The 20,533-nt window shown below is 45.8% G+C and overlaps 2 long non-coding RNA genes and 1 pseudogene across 3 annotated transcripts in view, besides 1 other annotated feature; 1 reads left to right on the top strand and 2 right to left on the bottom strand.

Moving 5' to 3' along the window:
- The window catches only part of LOC100420587 (SHC binding and spindle associated 1 pseudogene), a 292,307-nt pseudogene that overhangs the window by 165,689 nt on the left and 106,085 nt on the right, over positions 1-20,533 (bottom strand). The window lies entirely within an intron of this gene.
- On the bottom strand, positions 557-19,909 carry LOC124904681 (uncharacterized). Its single transcript, XR_007067212.1, has 2 exons — positions 19,648-19,909; positions 557-1,467 (listed from the first exon to the last, which is right to left on the bottom strand). It is a non-coding gene; the product is annotated as an uncharacterized LOC124904681 (long non-coding RNA).
- Positions 4,835-6,034: an enhancer, noted in NCBI's record as "CDK7 strongly-dependent group 2 enhancer chr19:29096818-29098017 (GRCh37/hg19 assembly coordinates)". NCBI's record gives its function as "activates an origin of replication core promoter dependent on BRD2, BRD4, P300/CBP, MED14 and CDK7 cofactors, with strong dependence on CDK7, by STARR-seq in HCT116 cells {active_cell/tissue: HCT116}" and the evidence as "EXISTENCE:reporter gene assay evidence [ECO:0000049][PMID:35650434]".
- Positions 5,612-14,153, top strand: ERVE-5 (endogenous retrovirus group E member 5). The gene is made up of 4 exons (NR_135636.1): positions 5,612-6,028; positions 9,184-9,255; positions 9,906-11,078; positions 11,363-14,153. It is a non-coding gene; the product is annotated as an endogenous retrovirus group E member 5 (long non-coding RNA).

Genomic DNA, 20,533 nt, shown 5'->3' on the forward strand with positions numbered 1-20,533 from the left:
CCCTTACAACCAACCTGGTTTTCACAAAGCCAAATTCAGCTTCAAGGGCAGCCATGCATTACCCTTTCAGCAGAGTTGAGATATAAAGTCCCAATACTTTTTTTTCCTGAGACAGGGTCTCACTTGTCACCCAGGCTGTAGTGCAGTGGCACAATCACAGCCCTCTGAGGTGCAAGCGATCCTCCCACCTCAGCCTCCTGAGCATCTGGAGCTATAGGTGTGTGCCACCATGCCTGGCTTTTTTATTTTTTGTAGAGACAGGGTTTCACCATGTTGCCCAGACCAGTCTCAATCTCCTGGCTCAAGTGATCCTCCTGATTTAGCCTCCCAAAGTGCTGGGACTACAGACATGAGCCACCACACCCAGTCAAGTCCAAAATCTTTAGCAAGGCATGCAGGCCCTCATGTCCTGGCTTCCACTCCACCTGGCAGCCTCATCTTTCTTCACTCACCCTTCTCTGACATCTATGCTGCAACCACACCCACCTACCAGGATTAGGGTAAGGCAAGGGAAGCACTCGCCTCAGGGGCAAAATTAAAAGGGGCAACAAAAAACTCAGTGATCAAGACAAATGTTATTTTAATGCAATATTTTTTAAAAAATCAAAATCAGTGCAAAAGATCCATGGTTAACAGATACCAGAAGTTAAAATAAAGACATGATCTGCCCTGCACTCACATGTTCCAGCCTCACCTGCCACAGTCGAATCCTGGCCCCACCTACTCCTTCTGGTTTACCAAACTGTACTCTTTCTCACCTCCTGTGCCACTTTCCCTACCTAGAAGACTCCCCTGTAAATCATCCTTCAGGCATGAGCTGTGATGTCACCCTTTTCAGGCAAGTCTTCCTTGACATTCACAATAACTACCCACACACGCACATGCACACACCTGGGACTCAAGCCCCTACTCTGTGCTCCCGTAACACCCTCCTAGTATTCACTATATGCGATCACAATTGCCTGGCTGTCTCCCTGACCCATCTGTAAGCTCCATGAAAGTGGAGGCTGAACCTCTACTGTTGCTGTCACCACTGTTTCCAGAGCTGGTGGCAATGGTTGGGATTATGGCTGCAGCGACAGCTCCTCTGAAGGCTGCCTGCACCAAGTCAGGCTGGGCCCACACGGAGACAGATCCCTGGGAAGTCTTGATGGGCTGGGGACCTCATGCAGGCTGCTGGCTCCTCCACCTGAAACCGCATCTACAGATGCTGTGAGATTAGGGTTGATGGACCTGAAACACTGAAGGAGACACTGACAGACATCCAGGAAACACAGAAGTTTGGGTCCCGACGTGAGAGAGACAGCAGCCCAAAGGACCAGGTGTCATTTTCAGGGACAGGTCAGGGACGGCTATTTTTTTTTTGCCAGCCTTTCTCTGGGTGGTCTGTGCCTGTCCATTTATTCTTGCTGGGATATTTTCTGTCTCGCAGTGGTAGTGGTGAGGCAGTCGTGACAAGGAGCCTGGCTGGGTGGGGGGAGACAGAGTCAGATGCAGGTAGACCAGCAGGCCTTGTGCATTCCCCGCTTCCCCAGCCCACCTCCCTCCCACTCCTCAGGTTTGGGTGATTACAGCCAAGGATGACAGCTCTTGAAACGGAGAGGGACTAGGACAAAAGTGCCGAGACTTTAATAAGATAAGGTGGGAAGTCAAAGGGAGAATGGGGCTGATAAGCCTGGGCCATCTCTACCACAAAGCACCACCCCTTCTCCTCCTAAATCGCCTGCCCCTAGTCCTCCTACCAACCCCTTGCTAAATTTACCAGAAGAGACATGAGCTAGGGCTTGGGCTTTAGCCCAATATATACTCCATGGTATTCACTTAGCAGCCAAGGTGGCTGATTACCCCAGGGAAATATGAACTCTGGGAGGAAAGATAACGAGACACCGAAGGATGTTCCTCCATAAAAGAAAGAGTATGACACCCAACAACCTGCACTCCACTGACAAAGACTCTCTCCTCAGCCAATCTCCAGCCAGGCTCCTCTGAACCCTCTTCTCGTCCAGGCCTCAACCAAACGCTCACAGGGTTTCTTTTTTCTTTTCTTTTCTTTCTTTTTTTTTTTCTGGGGATGGAGTCTTGCTCTGTCCCCCAGGCTGGAGTGCAATGGCATGATCTCGGCTCACTGCAACCTCTGTCTCCCGAGTTCAAGCGATTCTCCTGCCTTAGCCTCCCCAGTAGCTGGGATTACAGGCACCCACCACCATGCATGGCTAATTTTTGTATTTTTAGTAGAGATGGGGTTTTGCCACATTGGCCAGGCTGGTCTCGAACTCCTGACCTCAGGTGATCCTCCAGCCTTGGCCTCCCAAAGTGCTGTGATTATAAGTGTGAGCCACTGCGCCCAGCCTGTTCACAGGGTTTCTAACAGCTCAAGGCCATATCCCTAGGATGACCCTGGGCCCACTTAAAGTGCCCACCTGAGAAAACTCAAGGCTGCCAAAAAGATTTACTGTTTTTTTCAGCCAACACCTGAAGACAATATAGAGTCTCTGTCTCCCGCTCTCTGAGGAAGGACAGGATCCTACCTCAGTAACTGCCAGCCTCAGCCACAGGTGACCTAGTTGCATTTACACAGTCTGCATTTTTCACTTCCCTAACTCTGCTAAGCTTCTGCTTTCCCATCCCTATGCCCTCTCTGTCTCTTAAAACACCTGTTCCCCTCTGCACAAATCAAAGAATCATTCAGTTCTTGCGGAACTCTTTTCCCTACTGCAATAGTTATTGCTGATTAAAATCTGGCCTCACCACTTTAATCAGTGTCCAGCTTTGTTTATCGTTGATATTCAGAATAATTTATGACAAGCATAATAAATAAACACAAAAACATGAAAGGCTACTGACTAAGCCATTATAAACAAGATCTAATTAGAAATTTGGAGAATGGAAATGAGAATGATGGAAATATAGAGCTCAATAGACGGGCTGATGGTAGAGTAGAGGGGCAGTGAGTCAGAAGGCCATGTGTTTCTTCAAAATAAGACCCATTGATCAGCATCCCCTGGGAACTCACCCCAGACCGCCTGAGTTAGATTGTGCCTTTAACACTACTCCCGGGTGAAGTGTATGCACAGTAAAGTCTGAGAAGCAGTGATATGGTTCTCAGCCTTGACTGCATACTGGAGGGATCTGGGAGCTTTAAAAAGTACTTACACTTTGGTCCTTACTGTCAGAGAGCTTCTGAGTAAGTAGCTTGGGGTATGAAACTGTAAACGTTCCCCTGGTCATTTTAACGTGCAGCCAAGTTTGAGAACCACTGACTTAGACTCTTAGAAAAGGGATAGGGATGCAAAATGTAAAAATTACAGGATGTGGGGCACAGAATTAGAAGAATCAACATATATAGGACAGAAGTCCTACCTGGAGAGACAAAAGAAAAAGGAGAAGAGGGAATACTTTCTGCAAAAAAAAAAAATGACTGAAAATTTCCAAGAATAAAGGAAATGTTCAAGACCGTATGATGATATATTGAAAGAACTCATAGAGTGCCAATAAGGAAAGATTTTTAAAAATTCACACAGAAAAATATAGGCTGAGTGTGGTGGCTCACGTCTATAATCCCAGCACTCTGGGAGGCCAAGGTGGGAGGATCGCTTGAAGCCAAGAGTTTAAGAAATATTACATTGATATTTGGGAATATTAAGGACAAAGAGAAACCTTTAAAACTTCAGAGTGAAGAGGTAGATACCAAGACAGGAAAAAGAACTAAATGACAGATGTCTCAACAGCCACACCCAAATGTCATTTTGGTCTTTTCATATATTTAAAGTAGTGAAGAGAAAAAAAAATTAACTCAGCATTTCTTATCCAGTTAAACTATCATTTAAAAATGAGGGTGGAATATCCACAGTGGTACAAGGCCTCAGAGGGTTTGCCATAAAAGACCACCTCTGAACCACCTGTGTCAGTCCGGGTCCATGGGTGAAACAGAGCTGGAAGCTCAAGTGCTGCAGTGGGGAAATGGAGGAGAAAGATCAGGCAGGGGCGGCAGGGGAGCAGCTCACAGACTGTTCCTTCGGCCCAGGCTCCAATATGGCTCAGCACAGTGCTGTTGCTGATGCCGGCTTTATTTAAATATGTGAGATTTGATTCATTATGGATTTTGCATTAATTTTGATTTTTCAATATTATTTGTCTTTGATTGCTCAGTTTTTTGATACCCCCTTAAATTTTGCTCCTGAGGCAAATGCCCCACCCACCTGACCCTCTAGGCCTCTACGATAGGGATATTTGCAAAAAAACCACCTCAGTTAATCAATGCTCCAACCCAGGCACCATCCAGGTTCATGGTTCTTCTCTGGTTGTGAAAATTAAAAACCGGGCCACCACCCACTTCTCAGCCTTATCCCCAGCCAGCCAGCAGAGCATTGTAGAATGTGAGCTTGCATTGTGAACACTCTGAAAATGTAGGCCAGAGAACCTTCTGGCTGGAGATGGCTCCTGCTGCGAGAAGGGAATATGACAGATAGCATAAGATATTACAGTAATTTTACTGACAAAGCACTAAGCATATCACAAAAGAAGTTCAAAATCAATTCATCTGCTTCCAAGCAGAAGCGAGTCTAACAGGCAGTGAAGCATCATCTTGATAATGTAGTTGTTCCAAAAGAAGAAGGAATTAACCAGGCTACCCTAAATGTGTCTGTATGACATGCTTTTTTGTTTCTGTTACCCTGATAAGGACTTAAAATTCCATTTGTATGGAAATAAACTAAGCTTCCGAAGTTATCTTCCTGTTCCGGGGAGTTATCTCAGGAGGTTTGCTGCAGAATTTTTCTCTGACTAAATGGGATCTTAGGCTCAGAGGCTGCAAGGTTTCAGCTTTTGTTGTTAAATAGTAAAGCACACTCTACTTCCAGCCACTACAACTGTGCTTCTTTAAGGGCGGTATCCATTAAGGTTGTTTGATTACAAACAAAGAAAACTGGCTCTAAGCAACTTGCTATCCTTCCAACAAGTTCTTTTTCTACTTAATATTAACTAAAGAATCAGCTGAGCAGGTTAAAATTAGAATGGGAACCGTGCAGCGCATTGGGTGGTAGAAAATAGTTGACAACTCTCTCAGAGTTTATTCATTCCAACAATAGAACCCGCTGCAACCATTCTTTTCTGCATTCTCTACAATTTTTTCATTTTTTTTTTAGTATGATGTTTTGCTATCTAGCATTCTCCCCTCAAGACTGAAAGTCCCAAGAAAATGAGTCCAATTGTCCATGCTTGAGTCATATGCCCATGCTAGGGTGACAATCTCACCAAGATGTTCCTTAGTGAGTGAGGAAAGTTTGCCAAAGAGACATGGCAGTGCTGTTCCAAGAAAAGAAAGAGCTGGGTGCTGGGTGGGCAAGGACCACAGAGGAACTAAGAAGAGAGGCTATTTCTCCTACTGTCCCATCTCCAAAGAAAAGGAGGAAGTAAAAACCGAAAAATAACAGACTGATTGGCGCCAGTGGCCAGGCCTGTAGGTTAAAGATTAAACCCCACCCAAACCGCTTGTGCTATCTATAGATCACAGACAACGGTATGAAGAAATACTTGCATTGCTCACCACCCCCACCTAGTCACGTACCCCATGCTTGCTGGATCTATCATGACCCTTTCACGTGGACCCCTTAGAGTCGTAAGCCCTTAAAAGGGCCAGGAACTCTTTCTTCGGGGAGCTTGGTTCTTGAGATGCAAGTCTGTCGACGCTCCCAGCAGAATAAAGCCTCTTCCTTCTTTAACCTGGTGTCTGAAGGGTTTTGTCTGTGGCTTGTCCTGCTACATTTCTTGGTTTCCTGACCGGGAAGTGAGGTGATTAAGGGACAGTGGAGGCAGCCCCTTAGGCGGCTTAGCCTTGCCCTGCGGAGCATCCCTGTGGGGTACTCCGGCCAGCTTGAGCAATGTGGATCCTGAGAGTGCTCCTGGGTAGGCATTTGCCCCAGTGGAATGCCTCATCAGAGTGGTGCATGGCAGGCCCCCACGGAGGATCAACACAGGGGCTGAACACTGGGAAGGAACTGGCACGTGGAGTCCGGACATCTGGAATATGGTAGGACCGGTCCCAGGAACTTACCCACCCCATTTGAGTGGAAGCATGGCCTGATCACCCATGGTGTGCCCTTATTGGCACTTTGGTCTCAGTTTTGATTTTGATTTGGCTCGGCTTGTTTGAAAAAAAGGAAAGTGAAAGTGAGTGAATGCTTGTTTGGGATGGGCAACAGATAGACAGTGGTTGCCGTCCGAAGTGAGTGTTGAGCCCTGAGCTGCAGTTCCGTAGGATACCTCGTACAGCTAAGTGGCGGTTCGTGCTGGTGCCTGGTACCAGCCTGCCTAAGAGGATCTGAGATTCCCGCAAGGGAAGTGGCCAGTGTCAGGCGAGGCAAGTGAGTGACCCCTTTACCCTTTCCCTTCTTGTGTTGTGAGCATTGTTTTTGTCTGGCGGGGGTGAGGGTGGTGGAGATGGGTGAGACGCAAAGTAAGCCCACTCCATTAGGAACTATGTTAAAGAATTTCAAAAAAGGTTTTAATGGAGATTATGGGGTTAATATGACCCCAGGAAAACTTAGGACCTTGTGTGAGATAGATTGGCCAGCATTAGAAGTGGGTTGGCCATCAGAAGGAAGCCTAGACAGGTCCCTTGTTTCAAAGGTATGGCACAAGGTAACTGGTAAGCCAGGATACCCAGCCCAGTTTCCATACATAGACACTTGGTTACAGCTGGTTTTAGGCCCCCCATGGTGGTTAAGAGGACAGGCAGCAGCAGTACTAATGGCAAAGGGACAGACAGCCAAGGAAGAATCCTGCTCCACCCGCCAAGGGAAGTTGGCTCCTAAAGTCCTGTCCGACCCAACATCAGAGAATTCATGGCAAGAAATGGTGCCAGTAGCCCCCCTCTTTCACCAAGAAGGAAGGCCTCCCCCTCCTGAGTCCACTGAGCCTGAGCTTCCACAAGACCTACGTACCCCTAGGCCACCCAGAGTAGAAAAGAAAGGATGCGAGACCTTGGGAGAAACCCCTCGGTTGGCAGCCCGTTTGAGGTCTAGAACTGGGATACAAACGTCCCTGAGAGAGCAATGGTATACTGGGGTAGACAAGGATGGGCATATGGTGGAAAGGCATGCCTTTGTGTACCAACCCTTCAACGCTGCCGATCTCCTCAATTGGAAAAACAATACCCCATCCTATACTGAAAAACCTCAAGCTATAATTGATTTGCTCCAAACTATTATCCAGACCCACAACACTACTTGGGCTGATTGCCACCAGTTGCTCATGTACCTCTTTAACATGGATGAAAGGCGAAGGGTGCTCCAAGCAGCAACTAAGTGGCTAGAGGAACATGTTCCGGCTGATTACCAAAACCCCAAGAGTATGTGAGGATCCAATTACCAGGAACAGATCCCCAGTGGGACTCAAATGAAAGACAGGGTATGCAAAGGCTAAACTGGTACAGGGAAGCCCTTCTGGAAGGGTTAAAAAAAGGGAGCTCAAAAAAAGGGAGCTCAGAAGGCCACAAATGTTAACAAAGTCTCTGAGGTCATTCAAGGAAAAGATGAGAGTCCTGCACAATTTTACGAGAGACTATGTGAGGCCTATTGTAGGTGTACTCCCTTTGATCCCGACAGCCCTGAAAATCAGCGCATGATTAGCATGACTTTAGTTAGTCGAAGTGCAGAAGACATTAGAAGAAAACTACAGAAACAGGCTGGGTTTGCAGGCATGAACACTTCAGTTATTGGAGATAGCCAACCAGGTGTTCGTGAATAGAGATGTGGTAAGCTGCAGAGAGAACCGCAGAGAGAGCGAACGCCAAGCCTGGTGAAATACCAACCTGCTAGCCGCAGCTATTAGAGGGGTCCCCCCAAAGGGGCGAGAGAAGGGGGCCCCGGGAAAAATACCCAGTCTGGCCATCCACGTTTGCAGTGTAACCAGTGTGCTTACTATAAGGAAATAGAATATTGGAAGGACAAGTGCCCCCAGTTGAAAGGGAAACAAGGTGGCTCTGAGCAGGAGGCCTCAGACAAGGATGAAGGGACCTTGTTCAATCTGGCAGGAGGGTTACCGGACTGAGGGGGACCGGGCTCATGTGCCCCCAAAGAGCCCATGGTCAGGATGACAGTCGGGGGCAAGGACATTGGGTTTCTTGTCGATACTGGTGCTGAACACTCAGTAGTAACCACCCCCGTCACCCCCTTATCCAAAAAGACTATTGATATAATTGGAGCCACAGGGATTTCAGCAAAGAAACCTTTCTGTTTCCCTCGGACCTGCACTGTGGAGGGGCATAAGGTAATTCACCAGTTCCTGTACATGCCTGACTGCCCCTTGCCTTTACTGGGAAGGGACCTACTTAGCAAGCTGAGAGTCACTATCTCTTTTATAAAGCACAGCTCTTTACAGCTAAAGTTACCTAGAATGGGAGTCATCATGGCCCTTATAGTTCCTTGGGAGGAGGAATGGAGACTCTTCTTATCTGAGCCAGGCCAAGAGATAGGACAAGCTCTGGCTAAGCGGTGACGAACAGTGTGGGTGGAAGATAACCCTCCAGGGTTGGCAATCAACCAGGCCCCCATACTCATAGAATTAAGTCTGGGGCCCAGCTGGTCAGGCAAAAGCAGTACCAGGTCCCCAGAGAAGCCCTTAAGGGCATACAGGTCCATCTCAAGTGCCTGAGGGCCTTTGGAATTATAGTCCTTTGTCAGTCTCCATGGAACACTCCCCTCCTACCTGTTCCCAAGCCAGGGACCAAGGACTACAGGCCAGTACAGGATTTGCGCATGGTCAACCAAGTTACAGTGACTTTGCATCCAATGGTACCTAACCCGTACACATTGTTGGGGTTGCTGCCAGCTGAGGACAGCTGGTTCACCTGCTTGGACCTAAAAGATGCTTTCTTTAGCATCACACTAGCCCCTCAGAGCCAAAAACTGTTTGCCTTTCAGTGGGAGGATCCAGGGTCAGGCGTCACCACTCTGTACACTGGGACCCAGCTCCCCCAAGGGTTCAAGAACTCCCCCACCATCTTCGGGGAGGCACTGGCTTGAGACTTCCAGAAGTTTCCTGCCAGAGACCTAGGCAGTCAGGTGCACCAAGGGAATGGATACCCTGTTTCGGCACCTGGAGGACTGTGGGTATAAGGTGTCCAAGAAGAAAGCTCAGATCTGCAGACAGCAGGTACGTTACCTGGGATTTACTACCCAACAGGGAGAGCGCAGCCTGGGATCACAAAGAAAGCAAGTCATCTGCAACCTGCTGGAGCCTAAGACCAGAAGGCAGGTGAGAGAATTCTTAGGAGCTGTAGGGTTCTGCAGCTCCTAAGAGCTGTGGATCCCAAAGTTTGTGGATCTCAAATTTTGCAGTATTGGCTAATCCCCTGTACGGACTCACAAAGAGAGGAGATAAGGAAACTTTCAAATGGGGGTCCCAACAGCAACGAGCTTTTCATGAGTTAAAAGAGAAACTCATGTCAGCCCCAGCCCTGGGGCTACCTGACCTAACAAAAACTTTCACACTGTATGTGTCAGAAAGAAAAAATGACAGTTGGAGTTTTAACCCAGATGGTGGGGCCCTGGCCAAGACCGGTAGCCTACCTCTCCAAACAGCTAGATGGAGTTTCTAAGGGTTGGCCCCCATGCTTAAGAGCCTTGGCAGCAACTGTCCTGCTAGGACAAGAGGCAGATAAGCTAACTCTTGGGCAAAACCTAAACATAAAGGCCCCCCCATGCTGTGGTAACACTAATGAACACCAAAGGTCATCATTGGCTAACAAATGCCAGACTGACTAGGTACCAAAGCTTGCTCTGTGAGAATCTCTGCATAACCATTGAAGTTTGCAACACCCTGAACCCCGCCACCTTGCTCCCAGTGTCAGAGAGCCCAGTTGAACATAACTGTGTAGAGGTGTTGGACTCAGTTTATTCTAGCAGGCCCGACTTCCGAGACCATCCTTGGATGTCACTAGACTGGGAGCTGTACGTGGACGGGAGCAACTTTGTCAACTCACAAGGAGAGAGGTGTGTGGGATATGCAGTGGTAACCCTGGATGCTGTCATTGAAGCCAAATCGTTGCCCCAGGGCACTTCAGCCCAGAAGGCCGAACTCATTGCTTTAATTCGGGCCTCAGAGCTAAGTGAAGGTAAGACTGTAAACATTTACACTGACTCTCAGTATGCCTTTTTAACTCTCCAAGTGCATGGGGCATTATACAAGGAAAAAGGCCTATTGAACTCTGGGGGAAAAGACGTAAAATATTAGCAAGGGATCCTGCAATTATTAGAGGCAGTTTGGAAGCCCCAAAAGGTGGCAGTCATGCACTGCAGAGGACGCCAGTGAGCTTCCACCTTGATCACCTTGGGGAACTCCTGAGCTGACTCAGGGGCTCAAAAAGCAGCATCCACCCCCTCCCGGGCATCAGTCACAGCCCCCCTGCTCCCTCAGGCACCTGACCTTGTACCTACTTACTCTAAAGAAGAGAAGGACTTTCTCCAGGCAGAGGGAGGGCAGGTGATAGAAGAGGGATGGATCCGGTTATCAGACGGAAGAATAGCTGTGCCACAACTGCTAGGAGCCGCAGTTGTACTGGCTGTGCATGAGACCACCCACCTAGGCCAAGAGTCACTTGAAAAGTTGTTAGGCCAGTACTTCTACATCTTGCATCTGTCAGCCCTGGCCAAAACAGTGGTGTAGCAGTGTCACCTGCCGGCAGCACAATGCTAGGCAAGGTCCAACTGTCCCACCCGGCATACAAGTTTATGGAGCAGCCCCCCTTTGAAGATCTCCAAGTAAACTTCACCAAGATGCCCAAATGTGGAGGTAACAAGTATTTGCTAGTTCTAATGTGTACATACTCTGGGTAGGTGGAGGCCTATCCAACATGGACCAAGAAAGCTCGTGAAGTAACCCGTGTGCTTCTCCGAGATCTCATCCCTAGGTTTGGACTGCCCTTACAAATCGGCTCAGACAACCGGCTGGCGTTTGTGGCTGACTTGGTACAGAAGAGAGCAAAGGTATTGGGATCACATGGAAACTACATACTACCTACTGACCACAAAGTTCTGGAAACGTGGAGTGGATGAATCAGACTATCAAAAATAGTTTAGGTAAAGTGTGTCAAGAAACAGGATTAAAGTGGGTACAAGGTCTCCCTATGGTATTAAGATTAGATGTACCCCTTCTAAAAGAACAGGATATTCCCCTTATGAAATATTATACCATAGGCCCCCTCCCATACTACAGGGACTCCGAGGCACTCCTCGAGGGCTAGGTGAAATTGAGTTACAGAGATAGCTACAGGCTTTAGGAAAAATTACACAAACAATTTCAGCCTGGGTAAATGAGAAGTGCCCTGTTAGCTTATTCTTCCCAGTTTACCCTTTCTCTCCAGGTGATCGGGTGTGGATCAAGGATTGGAACGTAGCCCCCTTGCGGCCATGGTGGAAAAGACCCCAGACCATCATCTTGACCACTCCTACAGTTGTAAAGGTAGAGGGAATCCCAGCCTGGATCCACCACAGCCATGTAAAACCTGCAGCACCTGAGACCTGGGAAGCAAGACCAAGCCCAGACAACCCTTGCAAAGTGACTCTGAAGAAGACGACAAACCCTTCTCCAGTCACACCCGGAAGCTGACTGGTCCACGCATGGCCAAAGCATAAGGAAACTCACCATGAGACTCATTTTCCTTAAATTTTGAACTTGTACAGTAAGGACTTCAACTGACCTTCCTCAGACTGAGGACTGTACCCAGTGTATACATCAAGTCACTGAGGTAGGACAAAAGGTTGTTGCAGTCCTATTATTTTATAGTTGTTATGAGTGTACCGGGACTCTAAAAGGAACTTGTTTGTATAATGCTACTCTATACAAGGTATGTAGCCCAGGAAGTTACCAGCCTGATGTGTGTTATAACCCATCTGAGCCCCCTATGACTACCGTTTTTGAAATAAGATTGAGGACTGGCAGCTGGGGAAAAGCTGATATGAGTAAATAACTGGAACAGAAGAGAAAGGAGCCCCAAAAAAATTATCTTAAAATTTGATGCCTGTGCAGCAATCAACAGTGACCTGTATGGAAATAGGATAAGATGTGGCTCTCTAGATTGGGAAAGGGGCTATATAGTAGAAAATAAGTATGTTTGTCATGACTTAGGAATGTGTAGTGATGAATGTAGTTACTGGTCCTGTGTCATTTAGGCCACCTGGAAAAAAAGATAAGAGGGACCCTGTCCACCTTCAAAAAGGAAAGAGTAACTCTTCCTGCACTAGTGGTCATTGTAACCCATTAGAACTACTAATTACCAATCTCCTTGATCCCTGTTGGAAAACAGGAGAGTACGTAACTCTAGGAATTGAGGGAACTGGACTGGATCTCCGAGTAAATATTTTAATCCAAGGGGAGGTCCACAGGTGCTTTCCCAAACCAGTGTTTCAGACCTTTTACGATGAATTGAATCTGCCAGCACCAGAGCTTCCACACACACACACACACACACACACACACACACACACACACACACAAAGACAAAGAACTTGTTTCTCCAGTTATTAGGAAATGTAGCTCATTCCCTCAATGTTACTTCCTGTTATGTATGTGGGGGAACCACTATGGGAGACCAATGGCCTTGGGAAGCCCGGGAATTGGTGCCTACTGATCCAGTTCCTGACATAATTCCAGTCCAGAAGGCCCAAATTAGCAACTTCTGGGTCCTGAAAACCTTGATTATTGGATAATACTGCATAGCTAGAGAAGGAAAAGACTTCACCATCCTTGTAGGAAGGCTCAATTGTCTAGGACAGAAGCTGTATAACAGCACAACAGGGACAGTCACCTGGTGGGGTCTAAACCATACTGAAAAGAATCCCTTCAGTAAAATTCCTAAATTACAGACTGCTTAGGTCCATCCAGAATCTCATCGAGACCGGACGGCTCCCTCTGGACTATACTGGATATGTAGACACAGAGCCTACACTCCGTCACCTGATCAATGGGGAAGTAGTTGTGTCATTGGCACCATTAAGCCATCCCTTTTCCTATTGCCCGTAAAAACAGGTGAGCTCCTAGGTTTCCCTGTCTATGCCTGAGAAAAGAGGAGCATATCTATAGGAAATTGGAAAGATGATGAGTGGCCCCCCAAAAGGATCATACAGTACTATAGGCCTGCCACACGAGCACAAGACGGCTCGTGGGGATACCGAACCCCCATCTACATGCTCAACCAGATCATACGGTTACAGGCCATATTAGAAATAATCGCTAATGAAACTGGCAGAGCTTTGACTCTTTTAGTCCAGCAGGAAACCCAAATGAGAAATGCCATCTATCAGAATAGATTGGCCTTAGACTATTTGCTGGCAACTGAAGGAGGAGTCTGTGGAAAATTCAACTTGACCAATTGCTGTCTACAAATAGATGATCAAGGACAAGTAGTTGAAAATATAGAGACATGACAAAGCCAGCACATGTGCCCATGCAGATTTGGCATAGGTTTGATCCTGGATCTTTGTTTGGAAAATGGTTTCCAGCTCTAGGAGGATTTAAAACTCTTGTAATAGGCATAATAATAGTGTTAGGACCTGCATGTTACTCCCCTGTATGTTACACATATTTCTCCAGTTACTAAGAGGCTTCGTTACCATCTTAGTTCATCAAAACACCTCAGCACAAGTATACATGAATCACTATTAATCTGTCTCACAGGAAGATCTAGATAGTGAGGATGAGAATGAGAACTCCCACTAGTGAGTGAGGTTCTCAAAGGGGGAAATGAGGAGAGAGGCTATTTCTCCTACTGTCCTGTCTCCAAAGAAAAGGAGAAAGTAAAAACTGAAAAATAACAGACTGATTGGCGCCACTGGCCAGGCCTGTAGGTTAAAGATTAACCCCCACCCCAACCGCTTGTGCTATCCATAGATCACAGACAATGGTATGAAGAAATACTTGCCTTCCTCACCACCCCTACCTAGTCATGCAGACAATGGTATGGAGAAATACTTGCCTTGGTCACCACCCCATCTAGTCGCGTACCCCATGCTTGCTCAATCTATCACAACTTTTTCACGTGGACCCCTTAGAGTTGTAAGCCCTTAAAAGGGCCAGGAACCCTTTCTTCAGGGAGCTCGGTTCTTGAGATACAAATCTGCCAATGCTCCCAGCCGAATAAAGCCTCTTCCTTCTTTAACCCGGTGTCTGAAGGGTTTTGTCTGTGGCTCGTCCTGCTACAGAACCAATTCTTCTCAAGTCAGATCCACACTTTTATGAACACTGAAGTTCTGAAGTTTCCCAACAACAAAATGTTTGGAAAATGCACTTTGTACAGTGTCTGATACAACACGCAAAATCTTATCATCTTCACCATCATCAGCTAATGTTATTACTTAGAAAATCTGGCCGAGTATTAATAAAGGTGGGGTGTTTACTGTGGGAAAGTGAAGGCTGTCTTGAAATGGCTTTTTTCTCAATAGAAGAAATAAAAAAGGGTGGCTGAGAGTGGTGGCTCATGCCTGTAATCCCAGTACTTTGGGAAGCCAAAGAGGGTGGACCCCTTGAGCTCAGGGGTTCAAGATCAGCCTGGACAACATGGCGAAACCCCATCTTTACAAAAAAATACACAAATTAGCTTGGTGTGGTGGCTTGTGCCCATAGTCCCAGCTACTCATGGGGCTGAAGTGGGAGGAATGCTTGAGCCCAGGAGGGGATCAAGAGGTTGCAGTAAGCCAAGATTGTGCCACTCCACTCCACCCTGGGCAACACATTTAGACTCAGTCTAAAAAAAAAAAGAAAAGAAAAGAAAGAAAGAAAATACAAAAGCGATGAAACTGGTTATTGTTGGTATCCGCTTCTAGAGAGCCCTGGATTCCTGCTGCAGCCTGTGGGTCACTGCCCCGCCACACAAAGGACCATGTATCCATTAGGCAAGATGGGCACACACTTAGGGGCACACAAGATTTTTTAAATTAGAAGAAAAAAAATGAATGTTTAAATTGAAGAAAATGCATAATGGTATATATTTGTCTTTATACCAAAGCAGTTGCAAAATTTAACCACAAAAGTCATAATGTAGCCCCAAGTCACCCCCCACCCACCGTGGAATTTGTATGCTCTGTACAGGAGAGCAAGGGCTAACTTTACTCCCATTCCTGACCAATGATCTTCCTCCAGCTCACATGGGACCTTGCTGAATCATCCCCAGTGCTTTTCTCTGAAGTGGGATCTAAAGTTGTTCACAAATTCTGCATTCTTTTCTTTTCTAAAAACTCTACTTCTGTGACAGACTACAAATCCTGCACTCTTTATTCAATAAATATTAATTTAGTATTTAGTATTACACATGCAGACGCTCTGCAAAATACTGGGACAAAATTGGCCAAGACAGGCTTAGTTTTTGTGCTTATGGAGATTAAAGTCAAATTGTAGAAACATGTAATCAATGTGCTTATCTTACTGGGCTGTAATTACTTAGTAAGTAGAGGAATATATATCTATGTCTAAGATTTTCTACATTTACACTGATCATAGCATATATAACCTACCCCCTGAACTTGACATTTGCACACACACACACAAACACACAGAGTTCAGACAAATATGTTGTCTCTTCTTCTGTAACTTTTCCCCCAAATGCCTATCCTAACTACCCCCATGAAGTCCCCTGATAAAAACCCTTATTCAAACAAGTCCAGAAGACAGAATTCTCATTGGGACCCCCAAGAACAGAGGAAAGAATAGATGAATGGATGGTGTTAAATTAATATGTTAAGACCCTACCCCCCAGATGGATGGTATTAAGACAGTGGGTCTTTAGGAATTAATTAGGTCATGAGGGTGAAACTTTCATGATGAGGTAGTGCCCTATAAGAAGAGACATGCAACAGCTTCCTCTCCACAATGTAAGAAAACCTGGACCCTGCTGGCACACTAATCTTGGACTTCTCAGACTCCAGAACTGTGAAATGTTTGTTTAAGCCACCCAATCTATAAGGTACTTTTGTTACAGCCGCCCAAACAAACTGAGACAAATGGATGGATGGATGGATGGATGAATAATAGACTGAATAGAGGAATAAGAGGTGGACGGGTGGAGGGAAGAAATAACAAGGATGAAAGAAGATGAACAGAGAGATCGAGGAGTGGATGCCTAGATAAATACATACATAAAAGAATAAAAAGAAGATAGAAAATGAAAGAAAAAAATGAATAACTAGAAAGATGGATAAATTAATATACATATAGAACTTTGACAGTAGGGATAAATAAATGGGTAGAATCCCAGCACTTTGGGAGGCCGAGACGGGCAGATCACGAGGTCAGGAGATCGAGACCATCCTGGCTAACATGGTGAAACCCCATCTCTACTAAAAATGCAAAAAATTAGCCAGGCGTAGTGGCGGGCGCCTGTAGCCCCAGCTACTTGGGAGGCTGAGGCAGGAGAATGGCGTGAACCTGGGAGGCAGAGCTTGCAGTGAGCCGAGACTGCACCACTGCACTCCAGCCTGGGCGACAGAGCCAGACTCCATCTCAAAAATAAATAAATAAATAAGTAAAAAAATGGGTAGATGGAAGGAGAAAGCAAGAACTGATTTGGGGAAAAAGGGAATGAAGGGATGTGTGAATATATATATTATTTAAAAAATTATAGAGAATTCAGTAAGCATGAACATAAGGGTGAAATGAGTAAATGGATGAATAGATGGACAATTAGATAAATGAACATAGTGATGGGCTACTAAATGGGCAGATGGAAGAATCAAGTAATGCGGTAAGAAGGGATAGATGTAGGGAAAGTCGAGCTGATATTTGGAAGGGCAGATATATAGATGAATAGGAGGGTGATGCAAGATAGATACACTGATGACTGAATGGATAAATGAACACACAAATAATGGGTGGCCAAAGTAACACGGTAGAAATAGACGGAGTTTCATTTGGTCAGGTACAGGGAATGGTAGATTTGTGGGTACATGAATTTATGAGTGGATTGCATGAATAACTGGATGAGTGGATAGATCAATGGATGATGAATTGGTGAATGAAGATTCAATAAACAGGTGGGCATATGAGCATATATGAGAAGATACTGTATTTAATGTGATATACTAGAATGTGGAACACAAAGTGTTATGTTATAGCTTGGCCTAATCCTGCTTTCAACTCTTTGGGGTCTGACTGCCTCAGAAAACATCTGAGGTAATTAGCTCTGTAAAACCTTGAAAGCAGATGTTCATTTGGACTGCAGTGACACAGGAAGATTTTATAGGGAGGGTGGCATATTCACCAAAGTGAAGAAAACATGGGGCTGAAGGGAGCTGAGGGCCCCATCTTTTCCTCCTCAGGATGAAGAAGTCCTCACCTCCTATTTCTCTGAGACAATTTGTCTGGCAGAGATTATCACTGACAAATTGTTTGTTGTTAATTAAATAACAAAACAGGTGGGGTGGGAAGATATTCTGCAAGTTCTCAGATATTCCCTTTTTGGTTGTGGCACATATGTATGTATTCATCCAGTTAGATTCCTGTTTAGAAGGGCCTGCTCTGTGCCAGGTCCTGGGCATGTCCCCATGTGGATGACAGGAAAGAGTAAGACAATCACTGCACTGCACTGAGTCCCAGAGCCTCTACACCTAGCAGCCACATGACCCTGGGCATGCTCCCTATCTCATGTCATTGTCATAGCAACCCCATGAAGTAAGTACTACGACCATCCAGTTTCAAAGACGAGAAACCTCAGGCACAATGGGATTGGAACACATAAAACACTCCCTGTATAACAGGCGCTGTTTTAAGTGTCCAAAAACATTAGATTTTTTTGTTACTTGCTGTAGGTTACAAAATTCGTCCCAATCCCCCACTCTCTCCCTGACTTTGTGATTTTGTAATGTCACTGCAGCAATTCCCATCAAGAGATGGCATCTATCTCCTTAATTCTTGAATCAGATCTGACTTTAGCCAACAGAATGTGGGAGATGTGATGTTGTGCCAATTCCAAACCTAAGCCTCAAGGGACACTGAGGGTTTTTCTGTCTCTTGGACCCTGATGTTGCCATGTGAAAAAATTCAAGCTAGCTCCTAGAGGATGAAAGGTTTTATGGATGAGAACTCTGGACAACCAGTGACAAATAGCTAACTTCCAGACCTGGGAGTGAAAGCCTTCTAGACCAGTCAGTCCCCAGATGACCCTCAACTGACTACAACATGTAAGTGAGCCCATCTGAGATCAGCTAAGCTTTGCCCAGATAAGCAGAACTGCCCAACTGCTCTCCAGACTCGTGAGCTAGACTCATGGCTGTTGTTTTAAGCCACTGAGTTTGGAGTGATTTGGGAGACATGACAGGAACCTATAAAGGCCACATAAGTTTGAAAGAGAGATAAACTTAAAATGACCAAGATACGAATATATGGGAGCACAAAAAAAGGAAGGAATTCTCCTCCACAAGGGAATCAGTGAGGTTCCTGGAGAGGGTGAAGTTGGGATCAAGCCTTGAGAAAAGTAGAGTCAAGTTTCTGCCAGGAGTGTCTGCAGGGAAACCTAAGCGCCAAAAACCCACCCAAGAGCCTCAGACAAATAGGTGAGTCGGGCTTTCTCCCAGCCACCAGAATCAAGACTTGTGTAGGCAACAAGCTGGTCAGGACAAGCAGCACAACATCTCTACTTCGGGGCCAGACTGCTGGACATCAAGCTACAATCTAAAACACCCAGCCAGGGGCTACGCCCTCCATCTCCCTGCTTCTCTCACCCCTGCACTCACCAAATCCCTTATCCTCCCATACTCCCATCAGCATTCATAACAGCTCCTGTCAAGAGCCATGCGCTCCAGACTCAGGGAAATGCTCAAAGCCATGTTCAGTATCAAAATGAGACAGAAGAAATTATGTTTAATTCAACAAGGAAGCAACTGGCTTTGGAGATGAGATGCGGTGGGCAAGAAGACGGGGGTAGCTGCCAGCTGCAGTTACCACAAACAGGTGCTCTGTGTGCAGTATATACCATACACCAGCCACGGGGCTACTGACTCTCTGGGAAGGAACACACAGCCAGCTACTGAATGGGCAGCTGCAGAGGGAGCTAGGCATGATATCTAAACTGGCTTTGATCAAAAAGATATACATACTCATAGTTTAAGAATCAAGTACACTTACAAGACTTGCTACAAAAATAGCAGCCTTCTGCCTCTCTCTATTCCTCCCACCCTCAACTCCCAGAGACAACCACTTGCAACGTTTAGCTGATTCATCTGATATTACCTTGATATCTCTGAAATATAAAAAAGGACCAATATAGTGTGCTTTTAGTTTTAGGTATCATCTCTGATCTTCCATAATTGGAACATTCTTCTTTCACAGCTCCCCTGCCCCCACCATACCTTACTTTCCTTCCTGCCAGCTTTCCAACGTGAGTCTTCTTGAAAGAATCTCTCCAGACCATTCGACTTGCTCCAGTCTGGACCAATCACCCTCATATCTGGTGCACAGCTGTTGCCCTGGGGTCTCCCTTCATTCTCTACCTGAGAATTTCCTTCACAACTCTCTTCAGTTAGATATCCTGCATTTCCATTCTCTGTTTTTCACACTCCCCTGATTTAAACCCTACTTTTGGTGGAGCACATCTCCTAATAATTTGATATCAAAGAGTACATGAGACTTTAATGTCTAAGAAAGCCATTATTCAGTCCTTACATTTGCTTGATAGCTTGGCTGGATGAAGATTTCTAGGCTGAAAAGTATCGTCCTTCCAATCTTCCAAGGCATTAAACCAACACTGTCTTCTAGCTTCCAGTATTGCTGCTGAAATGTTTCAAGCCATTCTGTTTCCTGATCCTTTGTATATGACACATCTTTTTTTCCTTCCTGGAAGCTTCTAGTATCTTCCCTTTGTCCTTCGTATAATAAAATTTTATCATACAACAAAAAAGCTATAAAAAGAAACATTCAGAGAACAAGAAAGTATTGAACATTAAAAATTGTAGAACATGAATAAAAATTCCTACCGAAGTGTTGGATGACAAATATTTAAAAATCTACAATAAAGGTCAGGCACAGTGGCTCACACCTGTAAATCCCAGCACTTTGGGAGACTGAGGCAGGTGGATCGCCTGAGATCAGGAGTTCAAGACCAACCTGACCAACAAGGTGAAACCCCGTCTCTACTAAAAATACAAAAATTAGTTGGGCATGGTAGTAGGTGCCTGTGATCCCAGCTACTCGGGAGGCTGAGAATAGCTTGAACTAGGGAGGCAGAAGTTGGAGTGAGCCAAGATCGCACCATCGCACTCCAGGCTGGGCAACAGAGCAAGACTCCATCTCAAAAACAACAACAACAACAATAACAAAACAATAAAACAGAGAGGAAAGGCAATCTGAGGACACTTCTGGTTGTGCTGACTTCTTTCATGTAACAGGCTTTCCTCAGCTGTCTGGAGATCCTGAGCTGTCTGTGTAATTTAAGGTCAGGACACTAACACACTGATTGGAGGCTCAATCGCTTGATGAGATCTATCAACTATGGGCTTTACCAGAGAGGAGTCATGGGGCATTCCCTTAAAGAACCTCCAATATCAGTATC

Source organism: Homo sapiens, chromosome 19, assembly GCF_000001405.40.
Source record: "Homo sapiens chromosome 19, GRCh38.p14 Primary Assembly".
Classification (NCBI taxonomy): Eukaryota; Metazoa; Chordata; class Mammalia; order Primates; family Hominidae; genus Homo; species Homo sapiens.